At 50.5% G+C, this 18,138-nt stretch overlaps 3 annotated features.

The window, feature by feature from the left end:
• Nucleotides 3,526-4,415: an enhancer, noted in NCBI's record as "NANOG-H3K4me1 hESC enhancer chr2:241144761-241145650 (GRCh37/hg19 assembly coordinates)". NCBI's record gives its function as "activates a minimal SCP1, AML or CMV promoter by ChIP-STARR-seq in naive H9 embryonic stem cells {active_cell/tissue: H9 hESC(naive)}" and the evidence as "EXISTENCE:reporter gene assay evidence [ECO:0000049][PMID:30033119]".
• Nucleotides 8,922-9,423: an enhancer, noted in NCBI's record as "H3K4me1 hESC enhancer chr2:241139753-241140254 (GRCh37/hg19 assembly coordinates)". NCBI's record gives its function as "activates a minimal SCP1, AML or CMV promoter by ChIP-STARR-seq in primed H9 embryonic stem cells {active_cell/tissue: H9 hESC(primed)}" and the evidence as "EXISTENCE:reporter gene assay evidence [ECO:0000049][PMID:30033119]".
• Nucleotides 11,279-11,451: a silencer, noted in NCBI's record as "fragment chr2:241137725-241137897 (GRCh37/hg19 assembly coordinates)". NCBI's record gives its function as "represses an EF-1alpha promoter that drives an FKBP-Casp9 reporter gene in an ReSE screen in HepG2 liver carcinoma cells {active_cell/tissue: HepG2}" and the evidence as "EXISTENCE:reporter gene assay evidence [ECO:0000049][PMID:32094911]".

Here is an 18,138-nt window from a genome sequence, read left to right as displayed (position 1 = left end):
CCGGGACAGAGCTGAGGGACAGAGCTGTGACCTGACCCTGGAAACCTGCAGAGTGCCCCTGCTGAGCCAGCCTCCCACTGCACCCGGGCACACAGTGGGAGTCTGGCCCGGGTTTAGGCCTCGAGGGACGCTGGCTGGGGCCCAAGCCAGTGCAGACACCCTGAGGCAGGGCACACCTGGAGGAGAACTCCAACACTTCCTTGAAGGCCACTTAAGCAGGTTCCCTGCCCGGGAGAGGAGGGACAGCCACCTCAACTACTGCCTCAGATAGCAAGAATTGGAACCAGGTGAAACAGAAACAGGAAATAGAAACCATGGCCACTGGAGTGACGTGGGACAGAAATCACCATTCACAACACGTCCCAACAGCTCCTGACATCCTCAGTCCATGGAGGTGATCAAGAGAGCCAGCCTGCAGCCAGGAGCACCCAGAGGACGGGGGTTTGCTCCACCTGTGCAGTGAGGACCAATGTCCTGGGTTGAATGGTCTCTCTTGTTCCAGGAAGCCATTTGTAATCCTTGTTGGGGCATAATTCAGATGAAAGGCAGTCATATTCTAAGCATGGTCATTCTGCCTTCAGGGAGGACTGGCCGGCAGAATGATGGATGTCAGGCTTTCGAGGCTGCATAGTGATGATTCAGATCTTAAGTGGCATTTACGGGGTGTTTGCAGTGCCTGCCCAGAGCAAGAGCTGCTTCCCCAGCGACTCCTCCTGCCGCTGGCCAAGGCGCCCTCTGGCCTTTTGGGCCCTGCTGAGGCCTTGGGCCTCCCTCTCTCCTCGGGCTGCTCAGAGCCTCAGCTCTGCCAGGCAGGCAGGTGCCCCACTGCCTCTTTAGCCTTCTGATTGAGGTGAATTGGGGTGGAGGCAGCCAGGATGCTGAGTCCATCGGAGGCCCTGGTGTCTCTGGGCTGAGGATGCCATGGAGCCTCCCTCACTTCCTGCCACGCAAGGGCCCAGGTGGCAGCAGCCTACCAGCAGCGGTGCTGGGTGTGTCCAGCCAGGGCAGGCATGTGCGGAGCCCAGGAGGCACATGGGGGCTGGAGTCGGGCTCACAGCCACGACCCCTGTGGAGGCAAAGGAGACACTGTGAGCGCAGAAGTAGCTCCTCCAAAAAAGGCCTGCAGAAACCTCTGGGCCAGGAAGTTAGCACCAAGACAGCCACAGGGGCTCAAGACAGCACACTTGGAAGGCGAATGCCCGGGGCCAAGGTGAGGGTGAGGACTGTGGGCCTGATCAAAGATTCATTTCTAGGTCACTTTCCCCAAATTGTCCCTGCCCTTACAGGGGTAAAATGTTCTGGGGCCCCTGTTGGTGGCCCTATCCAGTACTTCTTCCTTTCTCTAAATACCAGACCCTGGACTATGAAAACCATGGGCCTGCTGGGACCTCTCCTCTCTCCCTGCCAGGAGCCCTGTTCTGGACTTCTTTATTAGGTAGAAGGTTGCCAGCAGCCTCCATCCTCCGCAGAGCAAGGTCCTGACTCCCAGCAGTGACCCCCAGAAGAGAGCCCACATGGGGTGGGGCTCAGGAGGACTCCCCTTAGAAAGGGGTTGAGAGCACCCATGGCTGGCTGTCCAGTGTGACGATCAATTTTAGCAACAGAAAAGAAGAGGCCTTTTGGATGGAGGGAGGAGGGAGGTCTTTGTGTGCAAGTTGGTGCTCAGAGTGTAACGACACTCTGTGGGTCTAGCATGGAACTCCTGTGGGTCTAGCATGGGACCAGAAAGGCAGGGTGTCACTGCTTACACGCACAAGGGCCCAGGGTGCACCTGAGCACCCACACACCTGAGGGGCCCACAAGCACCCTTCAAACAATAGACAAGCCTCCTGCCTCCAGGAGGGTTCCCGTCCCAGTGGAACCAGGGAGGGGTGTGGGTTGCCTGTCCAGGTGAGATGGGCCCTGAACTGTGCTCTGCAGTGAGGCCGCCCTTGGGCCAGGTGCAGAGACCACAGGACTGACTGCTGAGCAAGAGGAGAACAGAGACCCTCCCTGGGAGAATGTTGCCCTGCCCAGCGGCCAGCACACCAGGCTGCCAGGGTGGGGCAGAGCCTCCAAGCAGCCTGAGGTCTCTGGAGAGGCAGCTTTCTGGGATGGGGGCTGGGTGAGGGCTTGGGGCATCATTTGGGTAGAACAGTAAGAGTGGCTTTCTGCTGTGTGCCCAGGCTGCTGAGGCCTGTACTACATGGGGGAAAAACACACATATGCATATAAATTATGGATGTAAATTATATCTTATATTACGTATCAATTGTTTGTGAATTATGCATATACAATTTATATATAAATTATACATCATATTTAGATATAAATACAGTGTTTTATCCTATGGCTCATGTATTTATATATTAATATGCTGCTTTTCTGCTTTTTGTTTTCAGTTAATAATTAATGCTGAAATTCTTTCGATGCAGGACATCTAGCTCTCTTTAATTCTTTTTTTTTTTTTTTTTTTTTTTTTTGAGACGGAGTCTCGCTCTGTCGCCCAGGCTGGAGTGCAGTGGCGCGATCTCGGCTCACTGCAAGCTCCGCCTCCCGGGTTCACGCCATTCTCCTGCCTCAGCCTCCCGAGTAGCTGGGACTACAGGCGCCCGCTACCACGCCTGGCTAATTTTTTTGTATTTTTAGTAGAGACGGGGTTTCACCGTGTTAGCCAGGATGGTCTCGATCTCCTGACCTCGTGATCCGCCCGCCTCGGCCTCCCAAAGTGCTGGGATTACAGGCGTGAGCCACCGCGCCCGGCCTAATTCTTTTAAATAGCTGCACAGCAGGTCATCATGAGGATGGCCTATCATTTATTCATCTTCTGTAACTTTGATGGGTACTTGGTCCATATCCAATTTTCCACTATTGTCAAAAGTGCTGCATGAACACATGCTTTTCTCCTTTTACCTATTAATATGTGAAATTAATAGATTTCTGAACATTGAACCATCCTTGCATTCTTAGAGTGAATGACTCAGGGATTTTGTTTTTCAATTACTAATAAATTTTACTTGATAATATTTTGCTTAAGATGTTTATATCGAAAATCTGCAGGTTTTTCTTTTTTGTAATGTGCTTGACAGATTTTAGTAGAGTATTATTCTGGCTGCAAAAAAATAGTGTTTTATGTATTTTAAGTAAGGTGTGCCTTCCAGCAGGTGCACACATCAATCTACCAGAGGGAGAAAAGATAAAGCTTCTGTGTATGCACGCTGTTATCACAGCTTTTCAAATGTCAAGCATTGCATATGTTTTATAATGGACATGAGATATTATATATCCATATCATATATTGTGAATGATAATTTATAAGTAAAATTAATAGGTATCCATATTGAGGGCCCATGATAAAAAATGTTTAGACCTCACAGGTCCAGTACGTGGTGTATGTTTGTAAATATTTCCTGGGTATTTAAATGAGTGTATTTTCTGTATGCAGGATACATACTTAGATGTTTAAACTTCTCATTAATTTAATTTTGCTCATATTCTAAATTCTTAATCATTTTGTAATCTACTTGATCTGTTAAGGATTGAGAGATGTCTTCCACTCTTATTGGATTTTTGTGGATTTTTCTTTGTAGAGTTTCCAGCTGTTTACGTAGCTTAATGTCATTTATTTGCCATATTTTGTTTGTGAGTAATAGCTTTGAAGTGGATTGTGACCCTGATCATTAGAAAGTGATCTCTTTAGGTCGAATGCTTCTTTTTTTCTTTCAATGCAAATCAGCCTGAAATTCATATCATGGCCCTGCCTTTTCTCCTCAGTAGTGGAGGGCCATTTGCATTTGCCTGCTGTGAATGTGAACATCAGTCTACCAGGGCCCCTCTGAATGGCTTTGTTCTAAACAACCATATTGTTGTATTCACGTGTTTAGATGCAAGCTGGAGAGTCTTCATTCTTGATGGTAAACTCATCCCCCTATAAGGGCAAACATTTTTATTTTAAGAACTGCCAGGAAAGCTCCTCTTGGTTAGAAAGTGGTTTTTTTTGTTGTTGTTGTTTTGTTTTTTTTTCCCCAGAACAATTCCTGAAAGAATCCCCAGCAGGTGGGAAGGAAGTCTGCAGCTGAGTAGCTCTGACACTTGAGCTGTCTTCCCCAGCCACTGCCCATCCCTCTGTGCCCAGGGCGCACCACAGACTCACACAGAAGCTGGCCTGGGCTCTGACCCTGTGCAGCTCTGCCAGCAGCTGGTCCTCCTGGGAGGGGCGGGGCAGGTGTGGGCATGGCCTGTGGTGATGACAGCAGTTTTAGTCACTGCTCGGGATTTTCCCTTTGGGTTTGCAGAACCAGAGATGCTGTGAAAGTGTTGCTCACAGGGAAGAGAAGGTTGGCCTTTGGCTGAAACAGCTTCTAGTCACAGGCTTCCTGGGGGCTGTCAGTCTCTTTTTCCCTCTCCCTCCTTCCCTCTCTCCCTTTCCCTCTCTCCCTTTCTTTCCCTCTCCTCACTCTCAGCCCACACCTCACACAAACACAGCTGAGTATGTAGTTGCTGCAAACAATGAAGCTCCTTCCTTCTGAAGAAGGAGGTCATGATGCCGACTTCATTTGGGACATTTTCTCAGGGACAGCGTCCACCCGAAGTCTGGAGGCAGGAGCTCCCTCATCCTCTGCTAGAGCCAGGGCTGACATCCCTGGTAGCTGCTTAGCCCTGCTCCCACCCCTTGGCATGGATGCTGCGGCTCCTGCCAGGGAGGTCAGGAGATGCCCTTGGAGCCAGGCTGATAGGCACAGGCTCTGGGCAGCCTGTGCTTTGCAAAAAGGGCCAGGATCACAGATCATGCTCAGGAGTGTGTGTTTTGCTCCAGGAAATGGCACAGCCTGGGGGAACACTGAGAAGGACAGAGGAATGTCTGTGCTTCTGTTGAGGAACACGGCTGGTATATGCAAGAAAGTCAGACGGGAGAGGAAGAAGCCAGAGGGGAGGATGGCGGCAAGTGTGGATGAGGACAGGGAGGCTTTGGGTTGGGGGTGGTGACAAGGGGTGGGAAACAGATGGATTTGGGAGCTGAGACTGGCAGCCTTGGCCCTGAGGGTGGGGGAGAGGGAGCACCCCTTGAGAAGTGCCGAGGACTCAGGAGGCAGAGCCGGGACAGATGGAGCCAGGACCCTGCCATCACACAGCCGACCCTTGAGGCCCAGTACAGCAGGACACGCTCAGGGGAGCATGGGGTGAGGATGGGGCCAAGCCCAGAGGCACAGAGCACAGGGCCTCTATTCAACCCGGCCCCAGACCAGAGTCCGAGAGTGTCCTGAGCTTCGGGCATGACAGAGCCCTGACCACGCGTGAACTCGGTTTCCCCTTTGCACTAAATATAGGAGTGAAGGCAGTCACAACTTCCACGGCCCCTGTTCCAGCTCTGTTCAATTATTCAAGGCTGGTTCCATTAGGGACAATCACATTACATAGGCAGTTGGAAGAGGAGCCAACCAGGTAAAATTGGAGGTTCAGCTTTTAGAGCATCAAAGGGAAATGCTGAGAGGGAAGGAGAATTACCAGCATTACCAGGGGGAGTCGGGGTTTTGGATAATCCCCTGCTATTTCCTCCCCAAGAAAGGCACTGGAAGGGGCAGAAGCAGGCCCGTGAGCTGGCTGTGCTGGGAAAATGGCGGGCCGGGTGACCACTGGCCCTGCTGACCGGAGCTCAGGGCCCCTCCCATTCCAGAAGCCCTGGCTGGGCACCATGTGGAGGGTGTGGCACCTACACACTTCAGCTGCACTGGAAGTCGCCTGTGACGTGGCCCCTGATCTCAGGACCCAGGCGGGTCCACAGAGCAGAGCAGCTCCGGCTCCTAGGAGTCCCTCAGCCCTCTGCTTCCCTGCCCTCTCAGTCACGGCCCCCAACAAGAGGTAGGTTCACTTCCCACCTTCTCCCCAGCTTGGATTCCATTCCTCCAAGTTCGGAGGTTTCCAAGCTTGGACTCTAAAGATGCAAGTCACTGACTTCATTTTGATGGATGAGTGAGCCTGGGGGAAGAAAGTCGAGACACAGGCCAGGCCCAAGCAAGGAGCTGGGTACCAGAGATGACAAAGGACCGGGAATCCTTGTGCTAATTAGAGCAAGTCGGCGCTTCAGCGAGGAATGTGGAGTGACGTCACATGAAAGCTTTCTGCTTGAATTATTGCCAATTTAATTTCTATGTAATTAACAGCAGGGCATGCTGGAATTAATGAGATTCCCCAACACATTTCTCTGGCTCTCCCCTCCCCTCTACGCTCCTTCCCTCCAATACTTCCTTTCTCCTTCTGGTCCACACAGGCTCAAAGCAGAAACCGACAGCTGTCCTGGATGGCTGACCACCTTCGCAGAGGCCATGCCAACACCCGCACGCATCTGCTGTGTGCCTCAGGCCTTCTTGTGCCCTGATGGACATTCCCCACATGCTGCAGACCACATGGGACACCCAAGGGGCTGGGCATCCAGCCCTTCTCTCTTGTTAACACAGAGTCCTGTGCAGGCAGAGGGAGTCTCTTCCTGGCCCCTTGTAATGCCCAGCATTTTGCACTAGCCCTGTGCAGAGCGGGGGCTCAGTGAATATTCACATATGACAGCTTACCTGGCGGTTCTCAGCATGGTCTCTGCTCAACACCACCTGCCTCTCCACCTGCCCGCACTCCTGCCCTTCCTCCAAGTCTCAGCTGCCACCTCCTCCAGGAAGCCTTCCAGATTCCAGCTCAGGCCAATGACCACCCTGCACCCCCACTGCACCCTGGGAACTTTACTGCACCCTGGGGATGGTGCCATCCTGTGACCCTTCCCTTCCCAGAGTCCAGGCTCAGGTCTTGGTCATCTCCGGAGCTGGGCTCCTCCCAGAGGCCCTAGTGAGGGAAAAGGGCATGGCCAATGGTGTGGACAGACATTGTCCAGTGTGGAGCAGGTGTGAAGTGAATGCCAAGGGGATACTGGGGCTTCACCCCCAGCCTCTGTTCTCAGACGCCCAAAACCACAGCAGCAGCCCGAGAGATGGAGGGACCAGAGCCAGCTCCCTCTGCAAGGGTGAGGTGGAGGGAGTGTGGCCCCCGCAGAGCCAGTCCCAGCTGGCGTTTTCCCAGCTGCCAGGGGAAACCTTCTTATTTGGTGTCTATGGGTCTCTTGTTATTCTGGTTTACAATTTAATAGCTCCTTTGAAAAATTGCTTTATTGTTTTTATGTTTTAAATGATCTTTGTTCACTGTAACTTTTAGAAAGTCACAAATTCAGAAAGAGCAAGAAAAAATGGAAAAAAGAATCAACTGAAATTTCACCTTCCAGAGAGGAGTTTGGTGTATTTCCTTGCAAACTCTACATTTTTTTTTGAGAATGGAATTATATGACTTACACTATTCTGTCACTTACTGTTTGCATTGGTGCACAGAAATTATCTTGGAGAATAGTCTCTGTTGATCAATATAGATACAACTTCCTTTCTCTCTCACTCCACACACACACACACACACACACACACACACCACAGTTTTCCATTTATTGTGAAGGCTGTAATAAATAATGGATGTGCACTGGTTTACTTAACCAACTTCATTTTGATGGACACTACTTTGGTTCTAGTTATTTAGGATTTAAAAATAATGCTGCAGTGAGCATGTTTGTATTCTTGTATGAGTGCTTCTGGAGAATAAGTTCTCACAGTGGCACTGCTGGGCCAGAAGCCTGCATGAATTAGCGTCCGATGGGCGTCCTCATGCCTCTCCCTGTCAGCGGTGCCCTGTGTGTTTCCATCCATGACACACAGGCAGGCATAGCCCCTCGCCCAGCCGTCATCAGGCGATGCCAACCTCTGTCACACAGGGCGCTCTGGGAAGCAGAAAATGCCTGCTCACTATTTCCATTTGAATTTTTAATTCTTCAGTGAGATGATAATATTCTCATGTGTTTGTTGACTATATTTCACGGCCAAAGAAGCAAACTAGATGTTTTGCAGCCTCACAAAAACTACTTTTAAATAGGTAAAAGGGTCATACATTTAAAAAACTCATGGAGTACTGCTGTGTAATATTATGTTGAGGAGGGAAAGTCCCTTCTTAGCCTAACAAGGCCAGAAAGTATTTTTAAAAAACACCAAGTTGATTGCATTTTTTAAGTCAGTAAGGTAAAAAAAAAAAAAACCTCATAAAGAAGCTGAAAGGGAAACAATAAGGGGTTTCCAATGTACATTCAAACTAATATAAAATTACAAATTTAAAAGCCTGCATGCATTAGCGTCTGATGGGCGTCCTCACGCCCACCAGATAAAATGGTAAAAATCCAGCGGAATGAAGGGAGAAGGGGCATGAACATGCAATTGATAAAGTAGGCAATTTGCCTCCTTTGCCCCTTTCTCAGGAGGCTCAAGGAGGATAAGCCAAGAGACCAGGGGCTGTGGAGGACCAGGGCTCCGTTCTCCCCAGACAAAGGCAGAAGGAATTCCTGGGAGGACGGGAGGTCCTGGGGCAGCAGCTCTAGAACAGGGGCATGGACAGCTCCAGGAGCAACAAGCAGAGAGCCAAAGCTCTGAGTCTATGCACTCACGACAGGTACATAGAAATTAAGCAGACAGAGCAAGGCAGTGATTAACCATGGAAGAAGATCTGTGTCAGAAAAGCAGCCATGGGGAATATTTGCAAAGAGTAATGCAAACATTGAGTGCAGAGTTAACCCAGCTGTGGTCTAACTCAGTGCGGGTCTGGTGGGAAGGCAAAGTGTGGTGTGGGAAGGGGAAGATGGCGCAAGGTGGCTGAACCTTTAGCTTTTGGAGTAAAAATGGGGGCAACATCTGATATTGAAAATTCAAGTCAGTACCGCCATGTAGCCAGTGACAGGAATGGCTAGAGGCTGGGAGAAGCTGCAGCTGGGATTAGCCGGGGGGTGGAGGGATTGAGTCGGCACAGCTGGTTTGCAGCAGAAGCCTCGCTACCCTCAGCCCTCACTGGCCTGTCCTCCCCTGCATCCGGAGCAGCTGGGCGTCGCCGTGCAATGGGCTCCTCCCGTGGTATGTGAGTGCATCCCAGGCAGGCCGGTGGTCAGAGGTGGCCTGTCCCTTCCCACAGTGCAGCTGGTGAAGCCCCGCACTGACCCGGCGGACGATGAGCAGGGTGGAGAGCACGGGCTGGAAGCAAGGCCTTGAGGAAGTAACGCCTATCCAGCGACATGGAGGTTTTAGTGTGGGAACTGTGAAGAAATAGTTCATGACACTAACAGCATAAAGAAAAACAAGTGGTATTTTTAAACAGATGCAAGCACAAAATGCATGTTTGACAGCTGTGTTAGTTATCAGTGCTCATAACGAATCATCCCAAAACTTAGCAGCTTTACACAATAGACATTTGCTATCTCACAGCATCTGTGGTCAGGAAGCTGGCCTGGAGAGAGAGTGAGAGAGCTTGCCCGAGATAGACGCTGCAGCGTTTTCATAAGCTGTGCCAGTCGGGTTTTCACCTCCACCATCGCTTCTGCTCTGTGCTATTGTTAGAAGCTCATCATGAACAGCCACGCTCAAGGGAAGAGAACTCAATTCCACCTTCCACCCTTCAGGAGGGCATTTCAGATAATCTGTGGGCCTACTTTTAAAACCATCACGCCGACTTTTGGTGTTAAAGCTTCTTGTGAGAAGTAGAAAATGAAGAAATCTTTCTCAATATAATGTGAATTATATATTCCATTATTAAAAACCAGCAGCAAGTGCCCCACTAAATGTAGCACACGGTGAATGATGATGGGAGTGAAGGCAAGGTCTTGGGAAATGACTGGACCTGGATTGAAGCCATTGCTTGAATTCTATTAGTGTGGCTTATGTGGTCACAGGTAGACCTGAGAATAAAAGGAGGTGGGGACCAGACCTCCTCTCTTCAGGGGAAAAGACTGTCTTTGTTCTGGGGGAGACATTCTTGTCCCCTTGTGGGGTCCCTACTCAGTTAGGTAAGGACCCCTTAGTGACATCATGTCAAGGCAGTGTCTGAAAATCCCTGGGAAGCCCCAGGGGTCCCTGAGAAGTGGACTGCTGGACCCCGAAGTGTGCTGCTGAGGTGCTCTTGTTCTCCTGCCCGGGTCTGCTGGGGGGCGGGAAGGCAGCCGGGCAAGGTGAGGAGTGGATTTCCTGCCATCGATCACCCTGCAGGAGATGAGGACTGGCCACGGCGGGCAGAAGGCCATGGAGGCCTGGGCCTTGGTTCACACGAGCTGGCCCCTGGAGCCAGGTGAGGGGCTGCCCGGGGATGCCTCATGTGAGGGGTGCAGAGGGTGGGTGGGCCTGGGTGCCCCGTGTAGCCACAGCTCTCAGAGCTGCCAGCCAGGCTGGATCCACTCCCTTCCCTTGTTCCGGAACCTGAAGCATTCAAATGTTCCTTGAAACAAAGTGACCCAACTCTCCCACAGGGGTTCCAGCCAAGGCTTGGGGGTGTGGTGGAAGCCCTCAGATCCAAGCCATAGCCTCAGCCCTGCTGTGCCAGCCACAGCTCCTTCCCAGTTAGTTCAAAGCCTAGGGTGAGGAATGGGAAGCCGCTGGAAATGCCACGAGTTTGTAGCAGTTTGCAGAGCCCTGTGACCGTGATGAATGGGTGATGGCAGGGGCAAAAGATGGGCATTGGCCAGGCAGGACGGTGGGGGAGGGGGGAAGCAGGGCTTCCCCGACTGCACCAGCAATGTCCTGGCTTGGACCATTCTTTGTTGTGGGGGCTGCCCTGCACACCCTGCCCTCTACTTGCCAGATTCCAGAACACCCTCCTCCAAGGTGTGGCAACCAAAAACATCTCCAGGCAGCACAAAATGTTAAGAACCACTGCATTCATGTTAGCTCCAGTCTGGCTGACTTAGAAGTAACCAGGGACTTCTCCGGGGCCAGTCATGTCTCATGGTCCCATTCCCTGGATGGCCAAAGGCTATGATCAGGAACGGGTGCATACCCTGGGGAAGGAATTCAGTGACAATGATGAGCAGTGATGGGCAGTGACGGCAGTGATGGACAGTGGTGGGAAGTGATGGACAGTGGTGGGAAGTGATGGACAGTGATGGATGGTGATGGGGGTGATGGACAGTGATGGGCAGTGATGGACAGTGGTGGGCAGTGATGGACAGTGATGGGCAGTGATGGACAGTGGTGGGCAGTGATGGACGGTGATGGGCAGTGATGGACGGTCATGGGCAGTGATGGACAGTGATGGGCAGTGATGGACAGTGGTGGGCAGTGATGGATGGTGATGGGCAGTGATGGGCGGTGATGGACGGTGATGGACAGTGATGGACGGGATGGGCAGTGATGGGGGTTGATGGACAGTGGTGGGCAGTGATGGACAGTGATGGGCAGTGATGAGTAGTGATGGGTGTTGATGGACTGTGATGGACAGTGATGGACGTTGATGGGCGGTGATGGATGGTGATGGATGGTGATGGGCAGTGATGGACGGTCATGGGCAGTGATGCATAGTGATGGGCAGTGATGGACAGTGATGGGCAGTGATGGACAGTGGTGGGCAGTGATGGATGGTGATGGGTGGTGATGGGCAGTGATGGGCAGTGATGGATGGTGATGGACAGTGATGGACAGTGATGGGCAGTGATGGGCAGTGATGGGGGGTGATGGACAGTGGTGGGCAGTGATGGACGGTGATGGGCAGTGATGGGCAGTGATGGACAGTGGTGGGCAGTGATGGATGGTGATGGGTAGTGATGGACAGTGATGGGCAGTGCTGGACAGTGATGAGTAGTGATGGGCGGTGATGGACTGTGATGGACAGTGATGGACGTTGATGGGCGGTGATGGATGTTGATGGGCGGTGTTGGGCGGTGATGGACGGTGATGGACGGTGATGGACGGTGATGGACAGTGATGGACAGTGATGAGTAGTGATGGGAAGTGATGGACAGTGATGAATGGTGATGGACAGCGATGGACGGTGATGGACAGTGATGGACTGTGATGGACGGTGATGGACAGTAATGGTCGGTGATGGACAGTGATGAGTAGTGATGGGCGGTGATGGACAGTGATGGACAGTGATGAGTAGTGATGGGCAGTGATGGATGGTGATGGACAGTAATGGTCGGTGATGGACAGTGATGAGTAGTGATGGGTGGTGATGGACAGTGATGGACAGTGATGAGTAGTGATGGGCGGTGATGGACAGTGATGGATGGTGATGAGCACAGACAGGGCATGACTCGCTCAGCCCCTTTCCTTGTCGCAGCACCATGAAGCCTGTGAAGACTGTGAGCCTGGCCAGGAGCTGCTGTGTATCCACCTCCACTATCAGGCATTGCCACTACTCTGGTGGACCTAGCTTGACCTGGGGCTGCAGGGCATGGAACAGAGAGAGGCCTGGAGTAAGGGTCCAGGCAAACTCAGAAGACAGGCCAGTTCCCAAGCAGCTGGCAGGGAGGGACAGAGGAGAAGCAAGACCCAAGGACACACCCAGCACAAGGACAGGATGGGGTGTGGGCCTGTGGGCAGCAGGAGTCTGGTCTCGGGCACTCTTGGCGTCTGGCAAGTCACTGCCCCAGCTGGGAACAGAGGCAGGCCGGGGCAGGGGAGGTCCTAGAGCTGCCAGCTGGTTCATATTTCATCCTCCCTGAAGCCCCATCCTCAGTCCCAGCTGGTCCAGCAGAGGACCAGACAGCTGAAGACGTCAGCAAACTCAAAGCCAGCATGAGTGGAGGGGGCTTCCGCACAGGCTCCTCCAACCTTGTGGGCTCTCCCTTGTGGGATCCTTGTGGGATCTCCCTTGTGGGATTCTCACCCCTAGCAGTGGCTGATCACTGTTGCAAGGTATTCTGTGCACCTGAACTGCCCAGTGTGAGCCAGATGCCCCGCCCTGGAGCAGAGCCACAGCCAGCCCCTGACCCCTGCACTTCAGCCTGGAGACAGAGACAGGCAGGTGGGCTGCAGGGGTTCACAGTAGGGTGTGGAAAGCTCCAGAACAGATTCAGGCATTATCCTCGCACCGTTCTGGAGGCCACAAGGCCGAAATCAAGGTGCCAGCAGGGCTGTGCTCCCTCCAGAGGCTCTAAAGGAGGAGCTTTCCTGCCTCTTCCAGGTTCTGGTGGCCCCTGGCTTCCTTGGCTTGTGGCCGTGTTGCTCTAAACTCTGCTTCCGTCTTCACATGGCCTCTCCTCTGTGTGTCTGTGTCTCTCCCCATCTTATAAGGACACTCGCCATTGGATCTAGGGACCACCCTAAATCTAAGATGATTTCGTCTCAAGATTCTTCACTAATTACATCTACAAAGACCCTATTCCAAATACAGTTGCACCGTGGGGTTCTGGGTAAATGCTGCTATTCAACCCACTTCTGGTCATGCAGAAGAGCGCAGGCAGGAGGAATGGCCTGGCTAGGGGCAGGGCTCAGGCCCTGTGCTCTCTGCTTATGCCTGAAGAAGCAGCACGGGAAGAGGGAGCTTTTCTCTTCCATCAGAGACAATTTTAACAAAGAAAATCAGAGGGGATGTGAATAACTTCCGAAATTTATCAAATTAATAGGCACATGGAAGCCCAGCTTGCAAAAAAATTCATTTCAAATCCTCTAAATCTTAACTGTCACATTCACCGAGTTTCCAGGGGCTAAATGCTGAATGCTAATACCATTTCCAGTATTCGCAATCCAATCTTAATTAAATCTGCACCACACTGAATTACTTTAACTATGATTTTCCAGTGGAAGGTATTGTGAGAAGTGTATTCTCTCTTATTTTAATCAGATTTCATAATTTTCAAGTGGACATGCTGGTGGAAAGACTGTTTGTTTAGAGATTGAGTTGGGAGAAGTCTCTCCAAATCTCATCAGTGGCTTTCACAAAGAAAGAGGAGGGTGTCTTTAATAAGACCGACTCCTTCTACGGGTTAAAAAGTCAACAGTACGCCAAAGTATGGGAGAAGATATTTGCAATGCACATAATGACAAAAGATATTCAAAGACAAATAATAAACGTAAAGCCAGACAACCCAATGGAAAAATGGGGAAACGCTTGAACAGACACTTCACGGAGAACAAGTCCAGTTGCAGACGGATCATGGGGCATGTGCCTCCTCGATGGCAATCACAGAATTGCACCCTGCAGTAGCTACTGCCATGCTCAGCTCAGATTCACTTAACTGGCTGCCATTTCCACCCCTGGCAGCAGCTTGTACTGGCCAACAACTCACAGCTGACACTCCTGGAAATAATTGCCCTTGGCCCAGCAGAAGCCACTTCATCAAGGGGCTGTGTCCCGCACCCAGGGCAGACCAAGGACAAGGACTAGCTGGCATGAGGATACTACAGGGCAGCCCCTGCCTCACAGCAGGGCCGAGTCCCGGGTGCATTCACACTCCAGAGCTCCCATGGAGTCGGGCTTGAGGTGAACTCCAGCTGAGGTCAGCTTCTGCCCCTTATTGCTTGATTCACCTGCTGTCTCCTGAGAGTCAGTTGAATAAGAACCCTCGTCTCAGGCTCTGCTTACGGGGACACCAGTCCCAGGACACCAGTTAGGATGATTACTGTTAAAAACAACAACAGCAAACCCTCAAAAGCAAACAAGCCCAGAAGGTAATAAGCATTGGCAAGAATGTGGAGACATTGGAACCCAGTGCACTGCGGGTGAGAATGTAAAATGGTGCAGCAACTGTAAAAAAAGGTCCTCAAACAATTAATCAGAGAACTACCATACCACCATCAATCCCGCTTCTGGACATATACTCAAAAATATGAAACAGGAGCTCAAACAGATATTGGTACACCCATGTTCACAGCAGCGCTACTCACAGCACCTAAAAGACGTAAGTAACCCGCTTGCCCACTGAGGAATGAGTGGATAGGTGTGGAGCACACATACCATGCTGTCTCAGTCCGTTTTGTGTTGCCATCACAGAATACCCGAGGCTGGGTAATTTACAAAGAACAGAGGTTTATTTGGCTCACGATTCTGGTGGCTCCAAAGCCTAAAATTAGGCAGATGTATCTGGTAGGGGGCTCATGCTGCTTCCTCTCATGATGGAAAGTGGAAGGGGGGATGAGCAAAGAGATCACCTGGTGAGAGAGGAAGCAAGAGAGAGCTGAGGAAGCCAGACTCGCTTTGACCACAGCCCGCTCTCTGGTAACTAATCCAGTTTTGGAAGGGCAAGCACTCACACACTCCGGAGAGAGAGCGTTAATCTGTTTATGCGAGATCTGACCCCATGACCCAAACACCCCCCACTACGCTCCACCTTCCAACACTGCCCCACAATGGATGCAATTTCAACACTACGCTCCACCTCCCAACACTGCCCCACAATGGATGCAATTTCAACACTACGCTCCACCTCCCAACACTGCCCCACAATGGATGCAATTTCAACACTACGCTCCAACTCCCAACACTGCCCCACAGCGGATTAAATTTCAACATGACTTTTGGTGGAAACAAGCCACATCCAAGCCATAGCAAATGGGCTATTCCTCAGCCTACAAAAGGATGGAAATTCTGATACATCATACAACATGGATGAACCTTGAAGAATTATGCTAAATGAAATAAGCCATTTATAAAAGGACATTTACCGCTTCATGATTTTGTTGATGATATTCCTGGAGTAGTTACATTCATGGAGAAAGAAAGTGGAATGGTGAGTGCCAGGGGCTGTGTTTAGTGGCTGCAGAGTTTCAGCTTTTTAAGATGAAGAGTTCTGGAGATGGAGGGTGATGGCTGCACAGCACTGTGAATGTACTTAGTGCCACCAAAGTGTACACTTAAAAAGGTTAAAATGAGGCTGGGCGCGGTGGCTCATGCCTGTAATCCCAGCACTTTGGGAGGCTGAGGCAGGCGGATCACGAGGTCAGGAGATCAAGACCTTCCTGGCTAACAGGGTGAAACCCCATCTCTACTAAAAATAAAAAATTAGCCAGGTGTGGTGGCGCGCAACTCTAATCCCAGCTACTCGGGAGAGAATCACTTGAACCAGGGAGTCAGGTTGCAGAGAGCCAAGATCGCCCCACTGCACTCCAGCCTGGTGACAGAGCGAGACTCCTCAAAAAAAAAGGTTAAAATGGTAAATTTTATTTTAGGTGCATTTTACCTCAATGGAAAATGTTTCAAATGAAAACAAAATAAAAATTCACCTCCAACCAATCTACTGAATGGCTAGAATTTGAAAGGCCAACACATGAGCTGCTGCAAGGCTGGAGAAAGGAAGTTTCAGACACCACAGGTGAGGGCACATCGCTTTGGCTTTATCTAGAAAAATTGAGGTTACACGGGCTCTATGGCCCCGCAATGGCACTTCTGACCATCCACCTACAGAGACACATGCCCTGAGCCCGGGGTACATTTACAGGAATGCTCGCGGCTGTACTGTGTGCAATTATCAAAAATGGGAATCTCAAACAGAGTGAATATCTAGTTCTGGTAAAGTGGGCGCATATTCAATTGAATATTATACTGCAGTAAAAACAAACAGCTATAATCACATGCTTCCACATAGATACGTCTCCCAAACGTATCTATGAGAGTAAGAAGAAAGACACAAAAGATTAAATAAGGAATGAAGCTTTTTTTTTTTTTTCTTGAGACAGAGTCTTGCTCTGTCACCCAGGCTGGAGTGCTGTGGCGAAATCTTGGCTTATTGCAACCTCCGCCTCCCGGGTTCAAACAATTCTCATGCCTCAGCCTCCCGAGTAGCTGGGATTACAAGCGTGCACCACTACGCCCAGCTAATTTTTGTATATTTAGTAGAGACGGGGTTTCACCATGTTGGTCAGGCTGTTCTCAAACTCCTGACCTAGTGATCCACCCACCTTGGCCTCCCAAAGTGCTGGGATTATAGGCATGAGGAAATGAAGCTTTTCATATAAAATTTCTGCCACATTGTTTCAGGATGCAAATGGAAGTGGAAAAACTTTAGAAAAACAATGATGTGGTTGTTCCAAAAGTTAAAGGACAGCTGCCACCAGGCACAGGGTGCCGCTGTGAATTGAGAGAGGCAGGCAGTGGAGAGCGAGGGCATCTGGGGAGATGGACTGGCGGGTTCTGAGATTCTAGCCATGTTCGAGGACTTGACCTGGGAGGTAGGCTCGTGGGTGTTTATTTATAATGGTTGTATACAATTATGTAATATAAACTTCTCAGTGTCAACAACAATAAACAAAGATCAATTTTATTCCAAACCATTTCCTTTGTTTACAGCTTATCTTTTACAAATAGTTTCCATTAAAGAAATCCATGCAGATCCTTCTGTAGTCGGCTGTGTCATATGAGAACAAATATTCAGACGACTGCGCCAATCTGATGCTAGGTCGCCACACGGTGCAAAGCGCACACACCCGTGTGGTCCATAAAGGATGCACAGGCGGTGCCTGAAGGTCATTCGCAGTCTTGAGTGTTGGCCACTCCAATGTCTTGGCTTTGAGGAACAGGATCATGACTGTATTCGTCAGTTCTTGCACTGCTATAAATAAATACCTCCGACTGGGTAACTTATAAAGAAAAGAGGTTTAACTGGATCAGAGTTCTGCAGGCTGTAAGGAAGCATGACAGCTTCTGGGGAGGCCTCAGGAAACTTTCAGTCGTGGTAGAGGGCAAAGAGAAAGCAGGCACGCCTTACATGGCCAGAGCGGGAGGTGGTGGGGGGGTGGATGCCACACACATTGAAATGACCAGATCTCATGAGAACTCATTCACTGTCATGAGAACAGCACCCAAGTGTATGGTGTTCAACCATTAGAAACCACCCCTCTAATCCAATCACTTCCCACCACGCCGCATCTCCAACACTGAGGATTACAACTGAACACAAGATGTGGGTGCACGCAGAGCCAAACTGTATCAGCTACTGGATCCTCACCATTGTCCATTTAAAAAATAGTCTATTTCCAGTAAAACAGGTGTAAAACAAAACTAGAATTTGCAAGGAAATAAAATAACATCCTTCTCCAAACTTGTTTCTAGGAGAAAGCAGAAGACATTGGCAGCTGGTGGAGAGACACGTGTAGACATGTAGGGGCTTCGGGGTCTCTCCTCAAAGGACAACAGGTGCAGAGTGGCCGGCACTTGGGAACTTTGCCTTCACATTGACCTGGGCAAAGGGCTGCCCACAGCCCTATTCTGATGCCTGCTGTGCATGACAGAGACGGAGAAAGAAGGAAGAAGGGGAAGGGGAGAAAGGGGAGAAAGTGTTTTCTGTTCACAGGTGGGAAAAGAGGAGACAGGAGCTTCGATGAGGCTGCTGTCATG

Source organism: Homo sapiens, chromosome 2 (genome assembly GCF_000001405.40).
Source record: "Homo sapiens chromosome 2, GRCh38.p14 Primary Assembly".
Lineage (NCBI taxonomy): Eukaryota > Metazoa > Chordata > Mammalia > Primates > Hominidae > Homo > Homo sapiens.
The sequence above is the reverse complement of the archived record's forward strand: the minus strand, read 5'-3'. Positions and strand labels throughout refer to the sequence as shown.